Source organism: Homo sapiens, chromosome 17 (genome assembly GCF_000001405.40).
Source record: "Homo sapiens chromosome 17, GRCh38.p14 Primary Assembly".
In the NCBI taxonomy this organism is placed as follows: Eukaryota; Metazoa; Chordata; class Mammalia; order Primates; family Hominidae; genus Homo; species Homo sapiens.
The window spans coordinates 42,532,611-42,545,330 of record NC_000017.11 but is presented as its reverse complement, the minus strand read 5'-3'; the positions used below and the strand labels follow the sequence as shown (position 1 = coordinate 42,545,330).

The 12,720-nt window shown below is 54.0% G+C and overlaps 1 protein-coding gene and 1 pseudogene across 5 annotated transcripts, besides 5 other annotated features; both read right to left on the bottom strand.

Moving 5' to 3' along the window:
- Window positions 882–9,090, bottom strand: NAGLU (N-acetyl-alpha-glucosaminidase). Of its 5 annotated transcripts, XM_024450771.2 has the most exons (7): window positions 8,676–9,090; window positions 8,458–8,514; window positions 7,786–7,933; window positions 6,846–6,992; window positions 6,576–6,661; window positions 4,125–4,381; window positions 882–2,303 (listed from the first exon to the last, which is right to left on the bottom strand). In XM_024450771.2, the coding sequence occupies exons 1-7, from the start codon at window positions 9,056–9,058 to the stop codon at window positions 1,093–1,095; spliced, it is 2,289 nt and encodes a 762-aa protein (XP_024306539.1). In that variant the 5' UTR covers window positions 9,059–9,090; the 3' UTR covers window positions 882–1,092. The 5 variants fall into 5 exon arrangements, with proteins under 5 accessions (XP_024306539.1, NP_000254.2, XP_047292094.1 ...); NM_000263.4 differs by lacking the exon at window positions 8,458–8,514; XM_047436138.1 differs by lacking the exons at window positions 7,786–7,933; window positions 8,458–8,514.
- Window positions 8,047–8,784: an enhancer, noted in NCBI's record as "H3K27ac-H3K4me1 hESC enhancer chr17:40688565-40689302 (GRCh37/hg19 assembly coordinates)". NCBI's record gives its function as "activates a minimal SCP1, AML or CMV promoter by ChIP-STARR-seq in naive H9 embryonic stem cells {active_cell/tissue: H9 hESC(naive)}" and the evidence as "EXISTENCE:reporter gene assay evidence [ECO:0000049][PMID:30033119]".
- Window positions 8,588–8,657: a silencer, noted in NCBI's record as "silent region_8534". NCBI's record gives its function as "represses an Ori minimal core promoter by ATAC-STARR-seq in GM12878 lymphoblastoid cells {active_cell/tissue: GM12878}" and the evidence as "EXISTENCE:reporter gene assay evidence [ECO:0000049][PMID:35858748]".
- Window positions 8,778–9,187: a silencer, noted in NCBI's record as "silent region_8533". NCBI's record gives its function as "represses an Ori minimal core promoter by ATAC-STARR-seq in GM12878 lymphoblastoid cells {active_cell/tissue: GM12878}" and the evidence as "EXISTENCE:reporter gene assay evidence [ECO:0000049][PMID:35858748]".
- Window positions 9,298–9,377: an enhancer, noted in NCBI's record as "active region_12203". NCBI's record gives its function as "activates an Ori minimal core promoter by ATAC-STARR-seq in GM12878 lymphoblastoid cells {active_cell/tissue: GM12878}" and the evidence as "EXISTENCE:reporter gene assay evidence [ECO:0000049][PMID:35858748]".
- Window positions 11,105–12,211, bottom strand: PTP4A2P1 (PTP4A2 pseudogene 1; annotated as a pseudogene).
- Window positions 12,642–12,691: an enhancer, noted in NCBI's record as "active region_12202". NCBI's record gives its function as "activates an Ori minimal core promoter by ATAC-STARR-seq in GM12878 lymphoblastoid cells {active_cell/tissue: GM12878}" and the evidence as "EXISTENCE:reporter gene assay evidence [ECO:0000049][PMID:35858748]".

Sequence of the window (12,720 nt, the reverse complement as noted above, 5' to 3'; positions counted from 1 at the left end):
CGTTGGGAAGGAGGGGGTGGTCTCATGGATCTGCACCCTAACCCTGTGGGATCTGATGCTGTCTCTGGTTGATTACATTGGAACTGAATTGGAGGACACCCAGCTGATGTCTGCTGCTTGGTGTGTGTGGGGAAAATCCTCCAAATATTTGGTCACAGAAGTCTTCTGTGTTGGTGACTGTTGCTGTGGCATGCCAGCAAAGGACAAACATGGTTTGAAAAGAGGTTTTCCTGCAACAGAAGGGCATTCTACGTTCAAAGGTCAGGGTAACATTAGTGTTAAAAAGAGAGACGTGGCCGGGCACGGTGGCTCACTCCTGTAATCCCAGCACTTTGGAAGGCCGAGGCAGGTGGATCACTTGAGTTCAGGAGTTAAAGACCAGCCTGGCCAACATGGTGAAACCTTATCTCTATGAAAAATACAAAAATTAGCCGGGCGTGATGGCACAGGCCCGTAGTCCTAACTCCCTGGTAGACTGAGGCAGGAGAATTGCTTGAACCCGGGAGGCAGAGGTTGCAGTAAACCAATATGGTGCCACTAAACTCCAACCTGGGCGACAGAGCAAGACTCCATCTTGGAAAAAAAAAAATTAGCCTGGCGTGGTGGTGCATGCCTATAGTCCCAGCTACCGGGGAGGCTGAGGCACAAGAATTGCTTGAACCCAGGAGGCGGAGGTTGCAGTGAGCCGAGACTGTGCCATTGTACTCAAGCCTGGGCAACAGACCAAGGCTCCGTCACAAACAAACAAACAAACAAAAACAGGGACGTGAGGCAAGGGATGGGAGAACAGGTCCCACCCCAGGGCCATGCTATAGCCCTGAGTCCTCCCAAGCGTGGCAGCAGTGACCTTCTCATTTTGACAGACCCAGGGGACTCATCAGTTTAAGTGGAAAGAAAACAGTACTTTAATCCCACACTTTGGGTGGTGGTGGAGGGCAGGTCATTTCCCTCCAATCCCCCCAGGTCAGACCCCACCAGCAGGCCGTGGGGCCTCCTCCCAGGCCTGGGTTATCCTGTGATGTCTGTCCAGCTCTGGGCCCTGGAATCTGCCCTGGAATTAGCGGAAAACAAGGCCCAGTGGTGGCGAATCTATCACCAAGAGCCGGCCACCCAGCGGGGGTAATATTTGAGGAAGATCTTCTTGGCCAGGTCCACAGTGTCTCCTCGCGGCTGGCTGGGGTACCTCTGCTTGCTGAGAACGAAGGCCTGCTCCAGTTGGAAGACATTTTTGTCAAACTGGTGCTGTTGGAAAGGGATGCCCTGGGCCACACTGTCAACCAGCGCCTCCAGGAAAAGCCGCCAGCGAGGGGTGTAGTAGTTGGCCACCAACCCCGCCAGCTGCTTGTTGGCATAGTCCAGGATGTTGCCTTCTGGCCCCCACAAGGTCAGCTGGTAGCGGCTGTTCTGCTCGTAGAAATCGGCCTCGGCCTCACTGACTGCCGCTGCTCGGGCCTGCTCTAGCCAGCTGCCCAGCAAGAAGCGGCTGTCACTAGCCAGCACCTCGTCCAGTGCCGGCAGCAGCTCATAGGCCAGGACGCCTCCAGCCCTCAACAGGGAGGCCAGCTCCTTGCTCAGGTAGGCGCTTCTTGCCTCCTCATAGTACAAGCTGACCAGCTCCTGCACTGCCTGCCGAGTGAGGTCCAGCAGGTCGTAGCGGAAGGCGGGGCTGGTGGCCAGGGAGGGAGCAGATGTGAGCAGCAGCCGCCAGGCCTCAAACACATCAGATCGGTTGTACCAGATGCTGGTATTCATCTGTAGGGACGGCCGCCTGACCAGCGGGCTACGATTGTGGCCCCTGCAGGCCTCCCCGGAGCAGTTGTACACACTCCGGAGCAGTAGCCTCCACGCTGCCCCTGCGTCCGGGTGGGAGACCCCATACCGCCGGGCGGCAAAGCTGGTCACCCAGGCTGCCAAATCTGGCACTGGGTCCTTTCGCCAGCCCAGCTCAGCCATGAGGGAATAGACCACTTCGTTCTGGCTGATGCCCTCGGGGGCCATGCCCGTGCCTACCATGGTGGAGTTGGGGAAGAGGCGGGCAGCTTCTGGGCCTCCGTTCACAGCCTCTAGGGCTCCAAAAAGACCATGGTTTCCCCCAAAGTTGTGCAGCATGCACCAGATGAAGGGCTGGCCCTGGAAGGAGGCAGTGCGGGTATACACAGGCTGGCTCTCAGCAAACAGGTCCAGAACCAGGAGGCGGCCACGGGGCACAGCTCCCAGCACAGCCCTGATCTGGGCGGGCCCCCAGAACTGCGGCTGGTGCTGGAAGAGCCAGCCTTGGAGCAGCCACACAGCCTCAGTATCCACTGTGGACAGGAGGTAGGGGGAACAGAGAAGAGGAGTGATGAAACAGAGGGCCCAGGGAATGTTCACCCCACTCTACAGACGACTGTCTATCCCAGGTCATGGCTTCCCATGACCCCCACCAGCGGGACGCTCTGTGGCACATACGCGTCCCTCTGAAAACTCCAGGACAGGGTTCAGCAGCTTGGGTGAACATGAGAGTTACCCAGAGGGCTCCTTAAAACATGGAGGTTTCTGAATGGGCGTGGTGGCCCACACCTATAATCCCAGTACTCTGAGGGGCTGAAGCAGGTGGATCACTTGAGCCCAGGAGTTCCAGACCAGCCTGGCCAATGTGGGGAAACCCTGTCTATACTAAAAATACAAAAATTAGCCTAGCGTAATGGCAGGTGCCTGTAATCCCGGCTACTCGGGAGGTAGAGGCACAAGAATCACTTGAACCCATGAGGCAGAAGTTGCAGTGAGCTGAGATTGTGCCACTGCACTCCAGTCTGGGCGACAGAGTAAGATTCTGTCTCAAAAACAAAATCAAGGCCAGTCGCAGTGGATCACGCCTGTAATACCAGTACTTTGGGAGGCTGAGGTGGGCAGTTCACCTGAGGTCAGGAGTTTGAGACCAGTCTGGCCACCATGGTGAAACCTGTTTCTACTAAAAATACAAAAATTGGCCAGGCAAGGTGGCTCACACCTGTAATCCCAGCACTTTGGGAGGCTGAAGTGGGCGAATCATTTGAGGTCAGGAGTTTGAAACCAGCTTGACCTACATAGCGAAACCCCGTCTCTACTAAAAATACAAAAATTAGCCGAGTGTGGTTGGGGGGCGCCTGTAATCCCAGCTACTCAGGAGGCTGAGGCAGGAGAATCGCTTGAACTCAGGAAGCAGAGGTTGCAGTGAACTGAGATCGTGCCACTGCACTCCAGCCTGGGTGACAGAGCGAGACTCTATCTCAAAACAAACAAAAATTGCCGGGCGTGGTGGCGGGTGCCTATAGTCCCAGCTACTCGGGAGGCTGAGGCAGGAGAATCGCTTGAACCTAGGAGACGAAGGTTGCAGTGAGATGAGATTGTGCCACTGTGCTCCAGCCTCAGCAACAGAGTGAAATCTGTCTCAAAAAAAAAAAAAATGTAGCTTCTCCTTCAGGTCTTGGGTAGGGCCTGAGAATTTGCCATCTCACAGCTCGGGCTGCTGCTGCTGCTGCTGCTGGTTTTGGGTCACACTTGGAGCAGTACTGCTCAAGAAAGGCTGAGCTGATCTGTTCCCTTCCTGGCCAACACAGACGCCTCTCCACTAAGTCATTCCTGACTTGGGCGCCCTCTGCTCCACTCCTCCTTTAAGTGGCAGGAAGGAGCCCTGGCTTCACAGTTTTGTAGCAGGATGCGCACTTAGTGCCTTTAGGCACATCCACTCACCTCCTGCCTGCAGTGCCTACTTCAGCAACCACGCAGAGATGAAACAAAATCCTTGTTCATAGCTAGCTCTTAGTGGCCTTTGCTCTGGGCCAGGCGTTATTCTACCTATGAGGTAGTCCCAGTTTACAGGAAAAGCAAACGAGACACTGGGAAGGAGGTCATGAGTCATAAGTCACACGGCCAGGAAATAGGAGCGCGAGGTGTGACCCAGGTTGTTGGCTTCCAGAGCTCACCTCTCAACCACAGTGGGATTCACTGAGACAACGCATGTGTACACGTGCTTGGTAAACTATGAAGTACTGTGTGTTATGGCGAGGCATTATTCCAGTCCCTCTGCCTACCCCTACTGACATCTGCTACTCCCTTCTTTTTGAGGGTCTGGGGGGCTCTCCCACCCCACCCAGGCACTGTACCTGCAGTCATGGCCTCATAGACGGCAGTGGTGGCTGCGGCAAGGTAGGAGGGCTCTGAGGAAGGTGGCTGCATCTCATTGAAAGTGTCGGCCCCATAGATGTGGTCTGTGCCAAACTCTTTGATCAGCTCTCGCAGGAAGAGGCTCCCGATGATGGGGAATATGGGGTCTTCCGGAGCCAGAAGGAAGGAGCAGGAGTAGGAACAGTTAAAGTGGCCCCAACTGCCCATCTTCGTGACATTGACCTGAGGGAACACCCTAGTGGGGAGCAAAAGCTCAGATATTTCATGGAAGCCGCCATAGTGTTCACCATAGTGTTCAACAGCCTTGCCAACTTCTCTACAGCTCCTGGTTTCTCTTGCCTCTATGGCTTTGTACAGGCTATGCTCTCTGCCTACAGTCCTTTCTTCTCCTTCCCTGGCCACCTTCTCTGAAAAACTTTCACTATCTCTCCCCTTCCTGTGGCCTGAAACAAGCAACGCTCCTTTTTCTTTCTTTTTTTTTTTTTTTTTGAGGCAGAGTCTCACTCTGTCCCCCAGGCTGGAGTGCAGTGGCGCATTCTCAGCTCACTGCAAGCTCTGCCTCCCAGGTTCATGCCATTCTCCTGCCTCAGCCTCCCTAGTAGCTGGGACTACAGGTGCCCGCCACCACACCCGGCTAATTTTTTGTATTTTTAGTAGAGACTGAGTTTCACTGTGTTAGCCAGGATGGTCTCGATCTGCTGACCTTGTGATCCGCCCGTCTCGGCCTCCCAAAGTGCTGGGATTACAGGTGTGGGCCACCGCACCCAGCTTTTTTTTTTTTTTTTAATTATACTTTCAGTTCAGTTCTGTGCAGAACATGCAGGTTTGTTGCATAGGTATACATGTGCCATGGTGGTTTGCTGCACCCATCAACCCATCATCTAGGTTTTCAGCCCCGCATGCATTAAGTATCTGTCCCAATGCTACTCCTCCCCTTGACCCCCACACCGCGAAAGGCCCCGGTGTGTGATGTTCCCCTTCCTGTGTCCATGTTGTTCTCATTGTTCAACTCCCACTATGAGTGAGAACATGAGGTGTTTAATTTTCTTTCCTTTTTTTTTTTTTTTTTTTGAGACGGAGTCTCACTCTGTCACCCAGGCTGGAGTGAAGTGGTGTGATCTCGGCTCACTGCAGTCTCTGGCCCCTGGCTTCAAGAGATTCTCATGCCTCAGCCTACCGAGTAGCTGGGATTACAGGAGCCCGCCACCACGCCTGGCTAATTTTTGTACTTTTAGTAGAGATGGGGTTTCGCCATGTTGGCCAGGCTGGTCTTTAACTCCTGACCGCAGGTGATCCATACGCCTCAGCCTCCCAAAACGCTAGGATTACAAGCATTAGCCAAGCGTCCGTCCAAGCAACACTCATTTTTCAAGGCTGGGCTCTGCCCTGAGCCCTTCCTGCCCCTCTCTCCCGGCAGAGGAGAGCGGAACCCACATATATTCCTGTCCTTGTCCCCACATTGTATCCTTCAGCCAACATATCTCTCCTATCAGGGGTAAGCCCTTGGGCACCTTTCTTGCCGCCTCCCAGGACCCAGCACAGCCAGTTCTGGCAGCCTCAGACAGCTGGACCAAGTTTATTGAATGAATGAGTGAGTTTCCTGCCACCTGGTGATGGGGGCAAAGAGGCGGGCAGGGAGGCCACTGGCATGCATTAAGTCCTACGAGAGTATGGGAGCCAGACATTAGCAGGTGCAAAGGAGGTCATGCGGGGCACTAGCAAGGCTTCCTGAAGGAGGGGAGGTCTCAGGTGAGCCTTGAAGACTTTTCCCAACCACATGTGAGAGGATGGCTGGGAAGCACAGAGGAACAGGAGGGACAAGGGACACTGGAGCACCCCTGCTGCCACTCCCAAGGGCTGCCATTTGCTAGCACTCTGTGCAAAGTCACAGATAGATCGAGAGATAATTACAAACCCTACAGCGAAGTGGGTAGAGATCCCATTTTACAAGTAAGGAAACTGAGGCACAGAGCAGTCATGTCATCTGCCCGAAGTCACACAGCTAATTAGTAGCAGAGTCAGAAATCAAACCCAGGCCTACGTCCAGAGCTTGTTTGTTTGTTTGAGACAGAGTTTCGCTCGTCACCCAGGCTGGAGTGCAATGGCGTGATCTTGACTCACTGCAACGTCTGCCTCCCAGGTTTAAGCAATTCTCCTGTCTCAGCCTCCTAAGTAGATGGGATTACAGGCGCGTGCCACCATGCCCAGCTAATTTTTATATTTTTAGTAGAGACAGGGTTTCACCATGTTGGCCAGGCTGGTCTCGAACTCCTGACCTCAGGTGATCCGCCCAACTCGGCCTCCCAAAGTGCTGGGATTACAGGCGTGAGCCACTGCGCCCGGCCCAGAGCTTAAGTTTTTAAGTCATGTTCTAGAAGGGAATAAAATTCCCTCTCTGAGCTAAGTGGAGGGGGTGAGCGGAACCTCACCTGGTGACAGCCTCGGGAACATGCCCCGCGAATGCAGGCAGCACTGGGGTCATGCCGAAGGAGCGCATCTGGTCCAGGACCCGGTGCTGGAGGAACAGAAGGAAGGGTGGTGAGCATGGCCACTGCTGTCCTATGAGAAGGCCCTCATCTCCCAGGATACACGCAGCCCCCCGCCTCAGTTAAGAGCCCTGGGGCCGGCCTAATACCACCCTTCCTGGGCCCATGACCATCTATCACCGATTCTGCCCCTTCCCTTTTCCATCCTTTTACCTGCAGGTAAAGCTGCTTGATGTGCCAGGAGGGGGGCAGGGGGCCATCCCAGGTGTGCAGGTTGCCCATTCGCCCCCAGGCCAGGAAGGCAGGACCAGTAAAGAACTCATTGATCTCTGCCTGGGTCAGGCCCAAGGCCAGGTACACCTGAGGAAGAAGGGCCCACACATAGAAATATATTCATCTTCATTCATTCATTCATTCATTCAACAACCATTCACTCATTGCTTCTTTGTGCTGGGTGCTAGGGCTACTGAGACAAAATCCGAACGCTGCCATCAAGGAGCCCACAGCCCAGAGGAAAGAGACCTGTGAGTAGGTGAGTTCACTGTGTTGCCTTTGTCGCATGGGTGAGGAGATGGGGCACAAAGGGGCTTTCCCCCAACAGGAAGGCCTTAGAAGGCTTCATGGAGCAAGAGTGCCAGATGGAAGGGCAGGGCAACTGTGTGAAGAGCTTAAGCAGAGCCTGGAGCAGCCATTGCAGCACAGAAGCTTCCAGGGAGGCAGATCTAGAGCTGCCCATGAGTTGGATCCAAGGGACCAGGTGATTGGCTGCATAGGGGAGATGGGGGAAGGAGCCCCACTCCTCAAACTGGAAGCCTCAGTTTTTTTTTTTTTTTTTTTTAGACAGAGTCTCGCTCTGTTGCCCAGGTTGCTATTTCTTTGTATTTTAGTAGAGACGGGGTTTCACAATGTTGGCCAGGATGGTCTCGATCTCCTGAACTCCTGATCCGCCCGCCTAGGCCTCCCGAAGTGCTGGGATGACAGGCGTGAGCCACCGCGCCCGGCCGGAAGCCTCAGTTTTTAGGAGGCCCAAGCCACTGTGCACGCTGAAAGCACTTCTAGAGAGAGACACTGCGCCCATGCTGGGGGGCGGGTGAAAACACCTACGGTGGCTCCCGCCATAGAGGAGGGTGGGGAAGGGACAGTGGGCACGCACCCGCTGCCAGATGGCCTCCTGGCCGCTCCAGGCCAGTGCCAGGTTGATGCCATTCAGCGCCATCCAGTCTATCTCTCGCTCCCAGCGGGCCCAGTCCCACCACACGAAAGAGTAGCTTTGCGTGCACACATTCTGGTAATAGCGGTACCTGCGGGCAGTGTCATGAGCAGGGGCGCATCCCACCCTGGAGGGTCCACGGCCCTGGAACAAATCCCCCATCCCCCACCTAGAGGAGAGGGGAGGGGCTCCAAACTCGGCCCTTCTGCTGCACACTGGGACCCACCCCAGGTGGAGCTGAGACCAGGTACCGGGGCTGGGCTTCTGAGGCACTCGTCCCCTGCACTCTCCCAGGGCCCTCTAGCCTGGCGGGTATTTGGGTGGCATATTCCACTTTCATGCCACACTGCCAGAGCCCCTCCTCTGCACGGTGTTTTCCTGGAACGGGGAATCCCTGCCCCCACAGTCTAACAGATGGGCAGGGGAGGACAGCTGTGTGAACACATCACTCCATAGTGTGGCAGGCGCTGGAACACAGGCCTGTAGGGTGGGGGATGGAGGCGTCCTTCCTCAGTCCGCAGGTTCAAAGAGAAGGTGGGGGAGGAAGGCAAGAAAATTCACTCATCACCAATTGTGCACCACAAATTCTATGCCCATCATCGTGCAAATCCTCACAATAACACTGCACGGTAGGCGTCTTCTTTCCGTTTTTCAGGTGGGCCAGCCGAGGCTCTGAAAGGCAGAGTGGCTGGCTCAAGGCCACACAGCTGCTGGAGGCGGCGCAGCTGGGCCTTCCGGCCAGCGCTCCCCGCTCAGCCTCCCGATTTGGGTGGCAGCGGCTCCGGGAGGGGGTAAGCGCCTCGGGCGGACGCGGGGAAGCTTCGGGGCGGTACCTGTTGGGCGTGGCCTCGGTCAGCTCCCCCGGCACGGCTGGCAGTGGCCGCGGCAGGCGCAGCTGAGAGCCGGACCAGGCCACGTGGCAGCCACAGAAGTCGCGCAGGTAGCGGTGCAGCCCCGCGGCGGCCGCCACGCCCGTGGAGCCGCGCACCCGCACGCGCGCCGCGCCGCCGCCGCCCAGGCTGTAGGTGTCCAAGCCCGGCTTGGCAGCCAGAGCGCGCTCCACCGACACGGAGAAGTCGGCCGCGGGGCCTGGCCCCAGCAGCCGGGCCACGAGCGCCCGCACGGCCGCCGCCTCCCGGGCCTCGTCGCCTGCCGCGCCCCCGGCCCCGGCCAGGAGAAGGACCCCCACCGCCGCGGCCACCGCCACCGCCTCCATGGTCTCAGTCCTGCGGGTCCCGCGACGGCCAGGGGGTGGGGCGGCCCGCGTCCAATCAGCTGCCGGCCTCCGGCCACGTGGACCCGAAGGCTAAGCCCGGGCTCAGGGCCAGGAGTCGCGGCTTCCGGGTACCAGGATACTCCCTTGGGGGCGTCTCGTGACCGCACGCGGTGGGGAGCGTGTGACCCCGGCTCCAGGGCCGAAGGGGACCCGCTGGCCCTCACAGAGCGCCTTCGGGTAAAACGCGCTTTCACACGCAAATAACTTCCATCCAACCATCTAATAAATACACATTTGGAGTTTATTTTGTATCAGGCACTGCCATAGCTACTTCCCTACTGATGAACGAGAAGACGGTCCCTACCGTCCCCGTCAGGGAGGTGACCTAGAAACCAGATATTTAACGTAAGTAAGGATTTCCATCATAGTTGTGATGCTGCGAAGTAGTGCAGTAAGTAGCGAAGTAGCGAAGTAAGGTTTCCAAAGGAAGTGACTTTTAATCTGAAACTCAGGGATGAATAGGAATTGGCTAGAAGAGGGAAAGGAAGAGCCTTCCAGACAGAAGAAATGCATTTATTGAAGGCCCTGAGAAGGCAGAGAGCTTGCAGATTTGAGTAACTAACAGGCTAGGAGGTTCGAGGAGGGATGGGGCCATGTGAGCCCAGGCCGGCGGTGGAGCAGGGCTGGCGGGCACGTTAAAGGCTGTCCATTGGCGGCAGCAGCAGCAACATAACAGGAGCTGTCATTTTGTCAGAAGTTTCCAACCAGAGCGACTCCATCTTGAACAGGGGCTGGGTAAAATGAGGCAGAGACCTGCTGGGCTGAATTCCCAGGAGGTTAGGCCTTCGTCACAGGATGAGACAGGAGGTCAGCACAAGATAAAAGGTCACAAGACCCCGCTGATAAAACAGAATGCAGCAAAGAAACTGGTCAAAACCTGCCAAAACCAAGACAGGAAGGTGACCTCTGATCGTCCTCACTGCTCATTATACGCTAATTATAATGCATTAGTATGCTAAAGACACTCCTAGCAGCGCCAGGCAGTTTACAAATGCCATGGCAACGTCCAGAAGTTACCCTATATGGTCTAAACAGTGGAGGAACCTTCAGTTGGGGGGGATCCCCACCCCTTTTCTGAAAAATTCATTACTAACCCACCCCTTGTTTATCATATAATCAAGAAATAACCATAAAAATAGCCAACCTTAGGCCAGGAGCGGTGGCTTACGCCTGTAATCCCAGCACTCTGGGAGGCTGAGGCTTGCAGATCACCTCAAGTCAGGGGTTTGAGACCAGCCTGGCCAACATACAGTGAAACCCCGTCTGTACTAAAAATACAAAAGTTAGCCAGGTGCTGGGCGCGGTGGCTCACGCCTGTAATCCCAGCACTTTGGGAGGCCAAGACGGGCGGATACGAGGTCAGGAGATCAAGACCCTCCTGGCTAACACGGTGAAACTCCATCTCTACTAAAAATACAAAAAATTAGCCGGGCGTGTTGGCGAGCGCCTGTACTCCCAGCTACTCGGGAGGCTAAGGCAGGAGAATGGCGTGAACCGGAGAGGCGGAGGTTGCAGTGAGCCAAGATCACACCACTGCACTCCAGCCTGGGGGACAGAGCAAGACTCCCTCTCAAAAAAAAAAAAAAGAAAAAAAGTTAGCCAGGCTTGGTGGCACACGCCTGTAGTCCCAGCTACTTGGGAAGCTGAGGCAGGAGAATCGCTTGAACGCTGGAGGTGGAAGTTGCAGTGAGCCAAGATCGTGCCATTTGCATTCCAGCCTGGATGACAGAGCGAGACTCCATATCAAAAAAACAAACAAACAAACAAAAAAAGTTGAAAGAGGCCTGGAATCAGATATCAACTTTAGATACTAGGGAAGTATGATTTTTTTTTTTAATCTCAGCTCACGGGAACCTCAGCCACCCAGGTTCAAGCCATTCTCCTGTCTCAGTCTCCTGAGTAGCTGGGATTACAGGCACGTGCCACCAAGCCCAGTTAACCTTTGTAGGGATGGGATTTCACCATGTTGTCCAGGCTGGTCTCGAACTCTTTTTTTTTCTTAAACATTTTATTCATTTTATAGAGAGATTTCTTGTTTGCTTTTGTTCTGATCATTAGGAGAGTGGTTGAGGAGTATTGAATCCATCACTACTTTGATGACACAGGTAAGAGTCCAGATTCACATTTCCAGGTACCAGGAGTTCCCTCTAAATGCCACAATCAAGTCAGCCTTCATTTACATTTCTTTCTGCTGAACACAGCAATGCCCATTGGTATCTCTGAAGCGTAATCGCATCTTAAGTAAAGCAGCTGTTTGGAATTTAACACTCCCCTTCTTTTTTGTCTTATAAACTGAACTGCATCTACGTACTTCATTCCACATTCAATCAAAGCAAGTGCAACCAGCACAGGTGCCCTTCCCAATTCCACAACGCAATGCACTGCAACACAGCAACCTGGCTCTTCACGAAATTTGGTGTTTAACAGGTTTAACCAATCATCTACTATCTGATTAGGGGATGGAGCTCCATCATCAAATGGCCAATCTAGAACGTGGATTCCTTCTTTTTCAACTGGAGCTTTATCATATGTAGCATCACAAACTCAAACCGAAGTCGTCACTCCATACTTCTTAAGTTCCTCTGTGAACTTGTTGAGAGTAGCATTGGTAGGGTTGTGAGTTATCAGAAAACACATGTTCTCATAGGAGATCTCCACAGGGGCTAGACGGTTCATTACGGCAAATAAAAAGTGTGAGCGTGCCTGTGAGTGTGATGGGGAAAGTGAAAAAAAAAATCAATAAATCTTGAAATGTTTAACAACAGAAAACATTAAAAAGACCATGAAAATGCCTATTATCAATCAGTGTTTTCTCTATTCAACTTGTTTATTCCTTATGAAGCTTCTCTCTTCAAGATAAGCAAAGTATTTAGAATCCACTTGAATCCAAATTCAATTTGGGCCTCAATTTCTGCAGATGGATACCTTCGGACTCCAAAAAACCCAACTACATACAAAACTGAAGCAGCCTTTACTACATTTAGGCACTAGTGAGACAAGTTAAAAGTGTAGGTCACTTTCCACTTGTTTACTTGATGCTTAATTTTACTGGAGTCATTCAAAGAAATATGCTTGCAATTAAAAAAAAAAAGCTGGCCGGACGCGGTGGCTCACGCCTGTAATCCCAGCACTTTGGGAGGCCGAGGCGGGCGGATCACGAGGTCAGGAAATCGAGACCATCCTGGCTAACACGGTGAAACCCCGTCTCTACTAAAAACACAAAAAATTAGCCGGGCGCAGTGACGGGCGTCTGTAGTCCCAGCTGCTCAGGAGGCTGAAGCAGGAGAATGGCCTGAACCCGGGAGGCAGAGCTTGCAGTGAGCCGAGATTGCGCCATTGCACTCTAGCCTGGGCGACAGAGGGAAACTCTCTCTCAAAAAAAAAAAAAAAAAAAAAAAAAAAGCTGCCGGGGTGCGGTGGCTCACGCCTGTAATCCCAGCACTTTGGGAGGCCAGGGCGGGTGGATCACGAGGTCAGGAGATCGAGACCATCTTGGCTAACATGGTGAAACCCCGTCTCTACTAAAAATACAAAAAATTAGCCGGGCGTAGTGGCGGGCGCCTGTGGTCCCAGCTGCTCAGGAGGCTGAGGCAGGAGAATGG